Source organism: Homo sapiens, chromosome 20 (assembly GCF_000001405.40).
Source record: "Homo sapiens chromosome 20, GRCh38.p14 Primary Assembly".
NCBI lineage: Eukaryota > Metazoa > Chordata > Mammalia > Primates > Hominidae > Homo > Homo sapiens.
The window spans coordinates 25,409,444-25,424,021 of record NC_000020.11 but is presented as its reverse complement, the minus strand read 5'-3'; the positions used below and the strand labels follow the sequence as shown (position 1 = coordinate 25,424,021).

Here is a 14,578-nt window from a genome sequence, read left to right as displayed (position 1 = left end):
ATTCAAAATGAAGCATGCCTCCTGTAGTATACACAAAACTTAATCCCAATACTGTAGATCTCTTTGTAAAAGGTAAAATATAGCTCCTAAAAGATTACATAGAAAAAAGGCCGGGCACGGTGGCTCACGCCTGTAATCCCAGAACTTTGAGAGGCCGAGGCGGGTGGATCATGAGGTCAGGAGATTGAGACCATCCTGGCTAACATGGTGAAACCCCGTCTCTACTAAAAATACAAAAAAATTAGCCAGGCGTGGTGGCGGGCGCCAGTAGTCCCAGCTACTCGGGAGGCTGAGGAAGAAGAATGGCATGAACCCGGGAGGTAGAGCTTGCAGTGAGCTGAGATCATGCCACTGCACTCCAGCCTGGGGGCAACAGAGAGACTCCGTCTCGGAAAAAAAAAAAAAAAAAGAGAGAAGAAAAATATCTTGGGAGGCTGAGGTAGGAGAATGGCTTGAACCCGGGAGGTGGAGCTTGCAGTGAGCCAAGATTGAGCCACTGCACTCCAGCCTGGGCGACAGAGTGAGATGCCGTCTCAAAAAAAAAAAAAAAAAAAAAAAAAAAAAAAAAAGAAAAGAAAAATATCTTAATAACCTTAATAACCTCTGGGTAGGCCAGGCACGGTGGCTCACTCCTGTAATCCCAGCTTTGGGAGACCAAGGTGGGCATATCTCTTGAGGCCAGGAGTTCAAGACCAGCCTGGTGAACATGGTGAAACCCCACCTCCACTAATAATACAAAAATTAGCCGGGCATGGTGGCACACACCTGTAGTCCCAGCTACTCCAGAGGCTGAAGCAGGAGGATTGCTTGAACCAGGGAGGCGGAGGTTGCAGTGAGCCGAGCTATGCCACTGCACTCCAGCCTGTGCGACAGAGTCAAACTGTCTCTCAAAAAAAACAAAAAAAAAACCAGAAATACTATTCAGCATTAAAAAGGAATAAGCTCGGCCAGGTGTGGTGGCTCACACCTGTAATCCCAGCACTTTGGGAGGCTGGGGCAGGTGGACCACCTGAGGTCGGGAGTTCAAGACCAGCCTGACCAACATGGAGAAACCCATCTCTGCTAAAAATACAAAAAATTAGCCAGGCGTGGTGGTGCATGCCTGTAATCCCAGATAGCTGGGAGGCTGAGGCAAGAGAATCGCTTGAACCCGGGAGGCGGGGGTTGCGGTCAGCCAAGATCACGCCACAGCACTCCAGCCTGGGCAACAAGAGCAAAAAACTCCGTCTAAACAAAATAAAAAACAAGGAATGAGCTCTTGCTAATATATCAACAGATTAGAATCTCAAAAATATTACATTTAGTGAAAGTCATCAATCATTAAAGGATACTGCATGAATCTATATAAAGTTCAAAAAATGGGCAACACTAAATTATAGTGTTTAGAAATGCATGCTTAGGTGGTAAATGGCAAGTTTTTTTGTTGCTGTTTTAAGACAGGGTCTCACTGTCACCCAGGCTGGAGTGCAGTGGCGCAATCTCAGCTTACTACAACCTCTACCTCCAAAGCTCAAGTGATCCTCCCACCTCAGCCTTCTGAGTAGCTGGGACCACAGGCGCATGCCACCACACTTAGCTAAGTTTTTTTTTGTTTTTTTTTTTCTTTTTTTGGTAGAGATAGGGTTTCACCCTGTTGCTCAGGCTGGTCTCAAACTCGTGAGCTCAGGCAATCCATCCACCTTGGCCTCTCAAAGTGCTGGGGTTGCGGGTGTGAGCCACTGCATCCAGAGCAATAAGATTTTTAAAAATAAGGAAGTGATTAGTCTGCACAAAAGTCAGGAGGGTAGTGATCACTGGGAGGAGGGACACAAAGGTTCCGGAGCAATGTTCTTTCTTGAACAGGGTGATGGATACATGGGAATTCCTCAGTGACACATCATTGGGCTGTACATCTTCGTTTTCTGCACCTTTTCAGATGTGTTTGCATGTGCCTGTTTTTATGTTAGATTTCACAATGCAAATGGTTAAATTAAGTGATTTTAAAAGATTTAAAAGGTATGTATGCCAAGGTGGTAAAAACTGCATTGTTTTTTATAATATAAAGGATAAAAAATGATATTTTGTATTGATAAGTATGAAGAAAAGTTCTCTGAGAGAGATCTTGCCAAATGAGTCAAACATGGGTGTTTCCACTGTGGTCTTTTCTACTTTGTCTCCACTGAGAAGAGTGTAACAGACCCCAAAGAGAAGATGAAGTGGAAGAAAAATCAGAAGCTGTTTTGACAATGAGGGTGTTACCCTCATTCAGTCTCATTCACAGATAAAAGGGAAATGTAGAATAAGCACGTTACTTCCACAAAAGAACATACTGATATAGTCACAAATTTTTTAGTTTTCCTTATGGAAAAATATTAATAGGAAAGAAAAAAATACCTATTTTCACTATCTCTCATGTTAGTGGCTTAAAGATTCTAAACAGAAACTTAGGAAATCAAAAAACAAAAGATGTTACTATTTTAAAAACATAAAAGATGTTACTACTTTGAAAACAAAAGATGTTATTATTTTAAAAACATAAAGGATGTTACTACTTTGAAAACAAAAGATGTTACTACTTTGAAATCAGATAATAAGATTTTTACTTATCATCAGTGTGCTTTCATATTCTTTCAATGGTGTTTTCTCTAAACATTAACACATGATCATCTGTTTCATGTTAGTAACCTTATTTTAGCTCTGCTTTTACTTTTATTGCTAGCCTGAGTCAACAATATTGAAATCATCACTCCCAGTAATAAAGTGCTTACTATATACCAGGAATTTGCTAAAATTTTAATATGCATTATTTTCTCTTTTTCATTGCCCCATGATGTAACTACTATTATTATTTTCTTTTTATTCATGAAGGACTGAAGCTTTGAGAGATTAGATAATTTACCAAAGGGCTCAGAGTTAACAAGGCAGGGATCTGAATTTAGGTGGCAGACTCAAGCCCATGTGCTTCAGTCACCCATTGAAGCACTATCCTTGGGTAATACAGATACCTATGATGACATTCAGACCTCATAGGCTCCTATAAGCTGTCAGGGATACCTGGAAATATTCTTTGTTACTGGTCCAAAATGGCTGATGCAGTTGCCACGATGCAATTGCTCAAGCAGAGATGTCTGTGGTCTACTACAGAGTTTATCTGTATTAATCTCTTCTCATCCTTCAGTGTTTCCAAAACATCACTACTAAGAGAACGAGACCATGTATATTCCTTTTATTCTTTTTCTTTTTTTCTTTTTTTTTTTTTTTGAGACAGGGTCTCACTCTCTCTCCCAGACCAGAGTGCAGTGGTGCGATCTCAGCTCATCGCAACCTCCACCTCCCAGGCTCAAGCAATTGTCCTGCCCTCAGCCTCCCTGACCAGCTGGGATTACAGGTGCACACCACCACACCCAGCTAATCTTTGTATTTTTAGTAGAAACAGGGTTTCACCATGTTGGCCAGGCTGGTATATTCCTTTTTATAGATGAGGTCACTGGGGTAGAAGGAAGTCATTTGCCAGTTTTGCAGTAATTCACAAACTCTTCCAAGAAACTATCTCAGGTTTCACTATTCTCAAACAACTTAATCTCTAGACCCATTAATATTATTTTATATAAGGCCAGGCACTGTGGCTCACACTTGTAATCCCAGCACTTTGGGAGGCTGAGGTGGGCAGATCATCAGGTCAGGAGCTCAGGACCAGCCTGGCCAATACAGTGAAACCCCGTCTCTACTAAAAATACAAAAATTAGCTGGGTGTAGTGGTGGGCACCTGTAATCCCAGTTACTCGGGATGCTGAGGCAGGAGAATCGCTTGAACCCGGGAGGCAGAGGTTTCAGTGAGCCAAGATCGTGCCACTGCACTCCAGCTGGAGCAACAGAGCGAGACTCCATCTCAAAAAAATATATATATATTTTATTTGCTGTTAACATTGTTATATTTCATTAAAATAGAAACTGACTTTGGGAACTCAGTAATCACAGAAAAGTGCCACCCTTACAGAAACAATGCCCAATATGAAATCTAATTGATGTGCTTGAATAAATGCAGCTTGTAATCATTTACTAAATTGTAAGAAACATATTAATCGCCAGGCGCTGTGGCTCACACCTGGAATCCCAGCACTTTGGGAGGCCAAGAGGGGCAGATCACAAGGTCAGGAGTTCGAGACCAGCCTAGCCAACATAGTGAAACCCTGTCTCTACTAAAATACAAAAATTAGCCAGGCATGGAGGCACGCACCTGTAATCACAGCTACTTGGCAGGCTGAGGCAGGAGAATTGCTTGAAGCCAGGAGGCGGAAGTTGCAGTGAGCAGAGAATGCACCACTGTACTCCAGCCTGGGCAACAGAGCGAGATTCCATCTCAAAAAATACACAAAAAAATTAATCTAAAATATTGTATGAGAAAAATCATTAAAGCTACTGTCGTTAGAGAAACATAATGTTCTGTTCATCTCACCATAATACACAGTAAGTACCCCAAAGTTCAATTAATATAAGTAGATTTGAACACAAAGAGCATAAAGTGAGGTACTAACATGTTACCAATTTCGTAGTCACTGGTAAATCTGAGGTAGAGATTACTCATTTATTTATGCAGAAAATGAACAGAATGAAAATGAAGCTATGACAACAAATAGATCACTTTCAAAAATGTGCAGAATCTAATGGCAAACACATTGAATATTTGTTTTTTTTTTTTCTTTAAGTTCTGGGATACATGTGCTGAACGTGCAGGTTTGTTACATAGGTATACATGTGCCATGGTGGTTTGCTGCACTGAATATTTTCTTTCTTAAGCTCTGTGCTATGCAACTGTAATGTAGTAACTGTTAACATTTATTGAGTGCCATCCTATGCTGTGCTCCACATGGACCACCTGAAGTAACCCTGTGATAGGCCTTGTAATAACACTGTTGTAGAATAAAGAATTTGGTGGGCCTCTCTCCCTCATTCCTGGGAGGTAGCTTCTAAATTCTTGTACTTTCTCAAGTAATAGGAGTGTCTTGTTATTTATGATGTGCCCTGAGAGTATGTGCTACTCAGGTGACTCGTGGTGAACCCCTACATAGTCTGTGCTAACAAGATGACTCAGAGTTGGGACTGGCTACCCCAGAAAGACCAACCATGTGATTAAAGTATTGGGCCTTTGGCCCTCCTGATGTCAGTCTGACCTCCAGGGAGGGGAAGAGGGATGAAGATTGAACTCAATCACAGGGCCAGCAATTTAATCAGTCATGTCTATGTAATGAAGCCCCAATAAACACTCTGGACATCAAAGCTTGTGTGAGCTTCCTTAGTTGACAATAACTGCAGGTAGTTAGTGTCAAAAGTCATTGCAACCTGTAATAGATAGGTAATATGATCTTCATCCTGTAACAAGGAAATTTAGGCACAGCAACAGGTCAAGTGACTTGCTCAATATTAGACAGCAGAGATTTGAACCTAAGCCCACCTGACTCCAATCCTATGTCCTTAAATAATGGGCTAGTTCTTTGCCTCAGTGACTAGGCAAATATGAATTTTGATTAGGAAAGTATATATACACATGTAAACATTTCATGGAATATCACCAAATAATAATGCCAGTTTTTTAATCCCACTGATGGATCACTAATAAGTAACATCATGGGACTCTATTTTGTTAAGTAATAATAGAATTTTCCACATATGATTTAGAATTACTCCTCACCACATAGTTCCCCTCACATTATATACTAAATACCAGCCAAAAATTGGGGAAAAACAGACATTAAACACAAAAAGAGGAATACCAATAAACACTATTATAGAACAATGCCAGAACTTTAGCATTTTCAAAATTTATAAACTTGAACAATGCTAACTCACTTCTTCAGCAGCCATGTGAAATCGTAATGCATTTGGCAAGACGCTACCATATTCCCATCTGAGTGCTCTGATCCGAAGCAAGCGGTCATACCTAGGACATCAAGAAGGTATTGGGTGGCATAAGAATAAACGGGGGATCACGTGTGGACTTCATTTGGCCCCTGATGCAAACACACCAGCTCTAAACAGACATCTTAGGGAAAACAAGAAGAACATGAACACAGTCTGAGAGTCGACCTGAAGGCACTGTCCACTCCTCCACGTGTGACAGCAGCACAGTAGTCCTGGGAAAAAGGTCCCTAAGGTCCTTATTTCTTTCTTTCCCCCGCCTTTTTTTGTTTGAGACAGAGTTTTGCTCTTGTCACCCAGCCTGGAGTGCAATGGCACGATCTCCGTTCACTACAACCTCTGGCTCCCAGATTCAAGCAATTCTCCTGCCTCAGCCTCCCAAGTAGCTGAGATTAGGCACCCGCTACCACTCCCAGCTAATTTTTGTATTTTTAGTAGAGACAGGGTTTCACCATGTTGGCCAGGCTGGTCTCGAACTCCTGATCCCAGATGATCCACCCGCCTTGGCCTCCAAAATTGCTGGGATTATAGGCATGAGCCACTGTGCCTGGCCAAAGGTCCTTATTTCTAAGACAAAGAAAAAATAGTAAGAACACTACCGTATTCAGTAGTGAAAGACCGTGATGCACTTAAATAGTGTGGCACCAACAAGTGAAACACGATGAAAAAAATATGGCAAAATAATAAAAATTGTTAAAACCATATGATAGCTCCACTGGGGTTCATTATAGTATTATTCTCCCTACTTTTAAAAGTGTTGTGATTTTTCATAATAAAAAATTAAAAAAATGAAAACACAGAGGAAAAATTTAGAATGCTTACAAAGAGAGAGAGATCTAAGATTTCATGTTACCCATTTGAGATGGTCAACTGGGAAGCCACACAGAAAATCCTGCCACCCCAAGCAAAAACTGAGAAGCTTACAGGTATGCTACAGTGCAGCGTCGATTTCTTAACAGAGAACAGTGTCGAAATTTGATAGTTGGTATCAAATCACTTCGTCCACCTGACTTTGCTTCATTCCTGATAGGAGCATTTAAAAAGAAAAAAAATATGTACTTTTCAGGATAAGTAAAATTTTCAAAGCCAACTAACAACTGAGTTACATGCTTGTTTTTAATCCATTTGTGATTAGCAGTTAACCTAAGCAAATAATAACTATTTGTACATCAGAGCTTTTATTAATATGTTAAAAAGCCAAAACCTAAACAACTTGCCTAAGATCATGCTACCAGATACATTTTGTTTAGGCATTTGGTACTTTGCATTTTTGCACACTGATTAATCTCTATTCTTTCTAAAAGACACTGTGTTATTCACTTTTCAGGATTCCATTATCACGCTGAGATAAGAGACAAAGCTAACATGATGGACATGAGGTTATGGTCTTACGTCATGTCGCTATTCTACATAGTACCTCCCTTCCAGTGGAGCTTCCAAATCCTCATTATAACAAAGTGAGGTAAAATGGAGTCAAAATGGTCTTTCACTCATCTTACAAATATCTGTTGATCTCCAAATACGTGTACGTACTATACTTCAGTATTTCTCACACTGAAAATTTTGGTTTTACCCTATAAAAAGTACATGTAACTTTTGAATGAATAAGAATCTACTTTGGAGTTTTTAAGCAACCATATGCATATAAAAAGAATTCATTCATGTAGTGCCTGCCTCTATGCCAGGCACTGTGCTAGGCCCTGATAATACAGGCAAAATACATGTCCCATCCTGTCATGTCTTCTAGGGCTGTTCTATATACTTCTGCCACCCTATGAAAGTCTGATGAAACTAGGAAGGTGGAATAAAGAATTTTGGATCATGAATTTGCGAATGGCATAAACACAGAGAATACAAGAAAATCATTCCCTTACTGAACCAAGGCCTATAGGGTCTCCTCCAAAACATTTATAACCTTCTCACTTTCTACCAAGTCTGGGTCACCTCTCTAGTAACCTGGTGACCAGCTTCCCCCACCTCTCAGCCCCTCCACACAGCAACCAGCATTATCTTTTAAGACACAAACACACCACCACCTGTCCACACTTACACCTCATCTGGTGTCATCCTTTGCCACTTGCCAAACTCCAGCCACATAGGTCTTCTTTAAGTGTCAGTTTCTTGAGTGCCCCATTCTCTTCCATGATTCAGGGGCTTTTGCATATGCTGTTCCCTCCACCTAGAATGTTCTATGCCCACAGTCACTGCCTCCCTAAGACTTGCATCTCCTGCAGGCCTCAGCTGAAATGTCTCCTCTTTGGAGAGAAGTTCCCTGATTCCTCAATTTAAGCTAGACCTTCTATTCATTTTTCTTTCTCCTTGCACTCTTCTGATTTCCTTCATAGCATGAATCCCAATTTGGCATATCTATATTTCATGTCTGTCTTCTGCACTAGACAGTGAGCGCCAGGGACAGGCATCTTTTTTTTTTTTTTTTTTTTGAGATGGAGTTTCGCTATTGTTGCCCAAGCTGGAGTGCAATGACGCGATCTCGACTCACCACAACCTCCGCCTCCCAGGTTCAAGCGATTCTCCTGCCTCAACCTCCGGAGTAGCTGGGATTACAGGCATGCGCCACCACGCATGGCTAATTTTGTATTTTTCGTAGACAGGGTTTCACCATGTTGGTCAGGCTGGTCTCGAGCTCCTGACCTCAGATGATCCACCCGCCTCGGCCTCCCAAAGTGCTGGGACTACAGGCATGGGCCACACTGTGCCCAGCCCGGGAAAGCCATCTTGACTGTTGTTTACCACTGAAATAGCACAGCCACTTATTGATACATATTTGTTTAGTACATATTTGAGTAAATCAATGAATGGCTTAGGGACTTGAGTTCAGGACTTTAAATCTGCCTTATATTTACTGCAAATCTGTTGAGGTTCACTTCCTCAGTCCACCTGTAAAGATTTTTCTGTATCTCTCCTTATACACAGGAGTTGGAAATGCTCCTATCATTTTATGTGCCTCACAAATCTTACCAGCCATAACACTGATTTCTATATTCAAGTAACTGATAAAAACACTGTAGCGAACAAGCCCAAAGAGGAAACCTCATGTCACAGACAGTTGAGACCCTGAATACTTCAACTTTGATCCAGTACTTGACTCCCTTTGGTGTCGCACAGGAACATACGAAGTTTGTCATACGCCCAAATTCTCCACTGTGCCAGCTACCATGCTCAGTTCTAAAGAGTCAATAAATCTAGTCACCTCTCTGGACCTACTACACTGAAACCTTTTATAGCTAGTTCTCAGAGAACTCCACTCAAACTATCAGAAATCACTGCTGCTCCTATTTATATCCATTTAATAAACTGCCTATTCTTCCTTTAACAAACTCACTAAGGCAACTGTTGATAAAAATATAAACAGTGGGAACCATGTATTTCACTTTGTTAGGTTTTTATTTTTATTTATTATTTTTAAAGATGGAGATCTCCTTCTGTCACCCAGGCTAGGGTGCAGTAACGTGATCATAGCTCACTGCAGCCTCAAACCCCTGCACTCAAGCAAGCCTCTCACCTTACCCTGCTGAGTAGCTAAGACTCCAGGTGTGTGCCACCACACCCAGCTAATTTTTATTTTTTTAATAGAGACAGAGTCCTGCTATATGTCCAGGCTCCTGGCCTCAACTGATCCTTTTGCCTTGGCCTCCCAAAGCACAGGGATTTATAGCCATGAGCCACCGTGTCCAGCCTATTTTTATTTTTTATTTTAGGGTATGTCATTTATTTTAGGTCCACTCTAATTCCTTTCAACTCTTATCAGCCAAACAACAGATATTTATTAAGCAGTGATCAGCACAAATTTCTTCAGACTTTTGCTAATTTGTACAGCTAGAGCAGATAATTTTACAGATAATTTTTAAAAATCGCATCCCAAAACTAATGCAAGGTTATCTGATTTCAACATCTTTTTTTTTTTTTTTTTTTTTTTGGAGACAGAGTCTTGCCCTATCGCCAGGCTGGAGTGAAGTGGTGCAATCTCAGCTCACTGCAACCTCCACCTCCCGGGTACAAACAGTTCTCCTGCCTCAGCCTCCTGAGTAGCTGGGATTACAGGCACCCACTACCACACCCGGTTAATTTTTGTATTTTTAGTAGAGACAAGGTTTCACCATGTTGGCCAAGCTGATCTCAAACTCCTGACCTCGTAATCCGCCCGCCTCAGCCTCCCAAAGTGCTGGGATTACAGGCGTGAGCCACCGCGCCCGGCCAATTTCAACATCTTAATTATTGAATTGTTTTAGAATATCATCTTATGAAACTTACACATCAGACTGGTTTTGTTCATACAAAGCTTTCATCTCCTCCAGAACTTGTCTGAGTCCATCCTCCTAGAACATATAAACCGATATTGAAATCCACTGATTTCCCCACCAATTCTGTGGCAATATGCTATCAATACTGAACTGTATCTTTCATTTATATACTTTAGCAAAAAGCAATAGTCCTTTCACACCCCACTAGCATGGTTATAACAAGTGTTGGTGAGATGCGGAGAAACTGGAACCCTCGTACATTGCTGGTGGGAATGTAAAACGGTATAGCCCTGTGGGCAAAAACTTGACAGTTCCTCAAAAGCTACACACAGAATTACCATATGACTCAGTAATTTTACTCCTAGGTGTATATATATACTCAAGAAAACAGAAAACACATGTTTTTTGCAGCATTATTCATAACAATAAAAATGTAGAAACAACCCAAACGTCCATCAAATGATAGATGGATAAACCTTCCACTTATCTGAAAAATCTAATATAATAAAAAGAATGGGTCAAGGGTGGTGGCTCATGCCTGTAATCCCAGCGCTTTGGAAGGCTGAGGCGGGTGGATCACCTGAGGTCAGAAGTTCAAAACCAGCCTGGTCAACATGGTGAAACCCCGTCTCTCCTAAATATACAAAAATTAGCCAGGCGTGGTGACAGGCTGTAATCCCAGCTATTCAGGAGGCTGAGGCAGGGGAAATCGCTTGAACCCGGGTTGCAATGAGCCAAGATCATGCCATTGCACTCCAGCCTGAGCAACAAGAGCGAAACTTCGTCTCAAAGAAAAAAAAAAAAAAAATGAACTACTGACAACATACACAACAATGAGGATAATCTGAAATACGTTATACTGAGCAAGAGATGCCTGACACAAGAGTTTACATGAAATGATTCCCTCTGGCCCTTCACAGGAAAAGTTTGCCAAAAAGAATAATATCATCTGTAGTCAGAGAAAGCAAATTCATGGTTGCCTAAGGCTATAGGTGGGAGGTAGCTACAAAAGGGGGGCAAAGTTACAGAAATCTTTTTTAATTTTTTTATTTTTGTGGGTACACAGTAGGTATGTATATTTATGGGTTATATGAGATATTTTGATAATTACAGAAATCTTGATCAGGGTGCTGGTTATAAAGATGTACATATTAGTCAAAATTCAAAAATCTATTAAAATACACATGTTGTATGTAAATTATACATCAATAAAATTGACGAACAAAGATATCAATCGTCCTACTGAAGCATGAGGTATAAAGAAAAATATGTAAATAATTCATAATTTACTAAAAAATGGTCTTTTTTTTTAGATGGAGTCTCACACTGTCGCCTGGGCTGGAGTGCAATGGTGCAATCTCGGCTCACTGCAACCTCTGCCTCCTGGGTTCAAGCAATTCTCCTGTCTCAGCCTCCCGAGTAGCTGGGATTACAGGCGCCCACCACCACGCCTGGCTAATTTTTTGTATTTTTAGTAGAGACGGGGTTTCACTATATTGGCCAGGCTGGTCTTGAACTCCTGACCTCGGGTGATCCACCCGCCTCAGCCTCCCAAAGTGCTGGGATTACAGGGATGAGCCACTGGGCCCAGCTTAAAAGTGATCTTAAAAGGTTAATACCAAAAGAAAGAAAAAGGAATAGTGTTTTTGGTTTGCACTGCAAAAACCGGCCATAGGAGTTTTTCTAGTATCCAGTTTCGGGCAAATTTTCCCTTGGAAAAATAAAACATTAGAATTCTGATTTTTTTCGTTGTTGTTGAGATGAAGTCTCACTCTGTGGCCCAGGTTGGAGTGCAGTAGTGCGATCTCAGCTCACTGCAACCTCTGCCTCCCAGGTTTAAGTGATTCTCTTGCCTCAGCCTCTCGAGTAGCTGGGACTACAGGTGTGCACCAGCAATGCCCAGCTAATTTTTTTTTTTTTTGAGACGGAGTTTTGTTCTTGTCACCCAGGCTGGAGTACAATGGTGCAATCTTGGCTCACTGCAACCTCCGTCTCCCGGGTCCAAGCAATGATTCTCCTGCCTTAGCCTCTCAAGTAGCTGGGATTACAGGTGCCCATCACGTCCAGCTAATTTTTGTATTTTTAGTAGAGACAGGGTTTCACCATGTTCACCAGGTTGGTCTCGAACTCCTGACCTCAGGCAATCCACCCACCTCAGCCTCCCAAAGTGCTAGGATTACAGGTGTAAGCCACCAAGTCTGGCTAATTTTTGTAATCTTTTTTTTTTTGGTAGAGACAGGGTTTCGCCATGTTGGCCACACTGCTCTCAAACTCCTGACCTCAAGTGATCCGCCTGCCATGGTCTCCCAAAGTGCTGCGAGTACAGGCAGGAGCCACCGTGTCCAGCCCAAAATGATTAAATGTTACCCAATAGGTCTGCCAACAATCGAAAGAGAAGCAATCCCATCTCTTTTTCACTGTCTATTTTTAGGGCCAAAATATATGTGTTGGCAAAAATGCTGTGGCATATACAAATGGCACAATTCCAAAATCAACTACTCAACTCTGCTCAAAAGATGTAATTCCTGATGGAAAATGCAAGCATGACTTCTACCTGAGCCCAAGGTAATTTTCTTACCTTTTCCTTTTTGAGACAGGGATTCAGTCTGTCACCCAGGCTGGAGTGTAATAGCGTGACCACAGTTCACTGCAGTTTCAACTTCCTGGAGCCATGCAATCCTCTCACTTCAGCCTCCTAAGTTGCTGGGACTACAGGTGTGTGCCACCACACCCAGCTAATTCTATTTTTTGTAAAAATGGGGTCTCACTATGTTGCCCAGGCTAGTCTCGAACTCCTGGGCTCAAGTGTTCCTTCCACCTTGACCTCCCAAAGTGGTGGCTGGGATTACAGGCATGAGCCACCATGCTTGGCCTAACTTTCTTAAAAATGTACTTTTTAAAAAAAGTATCAATTCTGCATATAGAAAGGGTGTAATCACTTTTCTGTTTGCTGAACACAGCGCTTAACCATGAGTGATTCCAGAAGAAAAGCCTGTGTGTTGGGCCGGGCACGGTGGCTCACGCCTATAATCCCAGCACTTTGGGAGGCTGAGGTGGGTGGATCGCCTGAGGTCAGGAGTTCGAGACCAGCCCGGCCAAAATAGTGAAACCCCATCTCTACTAAAAATACATAAAATTATCTGGGCATGGTGGCAGGCGCCTGTAATCCCAGCTACTAGGGAAGCTGAGGCAGGAGAATTGCTTAACCCAGAAGGCGGAGGTTGCAGTGAGCCGAGATCACACCATTGCACTCCAGCCTGGGCCACAGGAGCGAAACTCCCATCTCAAAACAATAAAAAAAAGAGAAAAGCCTGTGTGGTCCTTGGGCCTCTCAGATCCACTGTCAGCCTTCCTCTGTGCCGCTGAGTCGGAGGCCAGCCTCTGCAGGCTGACTAAGTGTTCCAGGCTGCTGGATCACCTTGAGTATCAGGTGGGTTTGTCAGTGGAAGGCACTAGTGAGACAAAAGGTGCTCCACCAAATTAAGACCTACAAGACAGTGATTCTACAACTTTTTTTTTTTTTTGAGGCGGAGTCTCTCTCTGTCGCCCAGGCTGTAGTGCAGTGACCCGATCTTGGCTCACTGCAACCTCCGCCTCCCAGATTCAAGCCATTCTCCTGCCTCAGCCTTCCGAGTAGCTGGGACTACAGGCACATCCCACCACGCCTGGCTAATTTTTTGTATTTTTAGTAGATACGGGGTTTCACCATGTTAGCCAGGATGGTCTCAATCTCAGGACCCTGTAATCCGCCCGCCTCAGCCTCCCAAAGTGGGGGGATTACAGGCGTGAGCCACCACTCCTGGCCTGATTCTACAACTTCTAAGACCAGCCCCTAGCCCCACAAAGTGATAACCCAACACTTAACTTAAAATTTGAGTAAAACAGAGAGCTAAACTAAGTGTCAGAGTCAGGTCCAAAATCCAGCTTGGCCGCACCTGTTTGCACAGTCTCTCTGTTCTCTAGGCCTGTGTCCTGATATGTACAATGACCTCTAAAGTTCCTAGTTCTCAGGCCACATTTTAGCATTTACACACTTCTGCATTCAAGCATCTCTACTGAGCTGCAGACTGCTGCCTAACTTTTTAAATGAGGTAACTGCTCTGAAGTTGAAAAAACAATTGACTAGAAACTGGAAAACCTGTGTTCAAGTTGAAGCTCTACCTCCAATATGCTGTAAATTCAGACGAGTTCCTTAACTTGACCCATAATTTGTGTCAGCTCAGTTTCTTCATTTGTAAGACAATCTAATTGTCTGGCTAGGTGCTCTTTAGTGTTCAAAACAAAACTCATTACCTTTCCCAACACACTCTATCTCCTGAACTCTGATGTTGTTTACCCAGTTTCCTAAGGATCCTCCAAGATCCCAATTCCTCCCTCTTATTCATTATGGACCCCATCTCTGCCCCTGCTCTAATAGCTAC

At 42.2% G+C, this 14,578-nt stretch overlaps 1 protein-coding gene across 8 annotated transcripts in view; it reads right to left on the bottom strand.

Annotated features, from left to right (window-relative positions):
- Positions 1-14,578, bottom strand: part of GINS1 (GINS complex subunit 1) — a 40,891-nt gene that overhangs the window by 24,542 nt on the left and 1,771 nt on the right. For 2 of the 8 annotated variants that reach the window (NM_021067.5, NM_001410830.1), the window contains exons 2-4: positions 10,168-10,232; positions 6,820-6,918; positions 5,827-5,917 (exon numbers count right to left, since the gene is read on the bottom strand). The exons of 1 other annotated variant lie outside the window; for it this stretch is intronic. In NM_021067.5, coding sequence (NP_066545.3) covers positions 5,827-5,917; positions 6,820-6,918; positions 10,168-10,232 — 255 coding nt within the window. Of the gene's footprint in view, positions 1-3,033; positions 3,177-4,216; positions 4,339-5,826; positions 5,918-6,819; positions 6,919-10,167; positions 10,233-12,735; positions 12,906-14,578 lie in introns of those variants that run through there. 5 more of the 8 variants (XM_047440625.1, NR_134574.2, XR_007067484.1 and 2 more) reach the window with 5 other exon arrangements.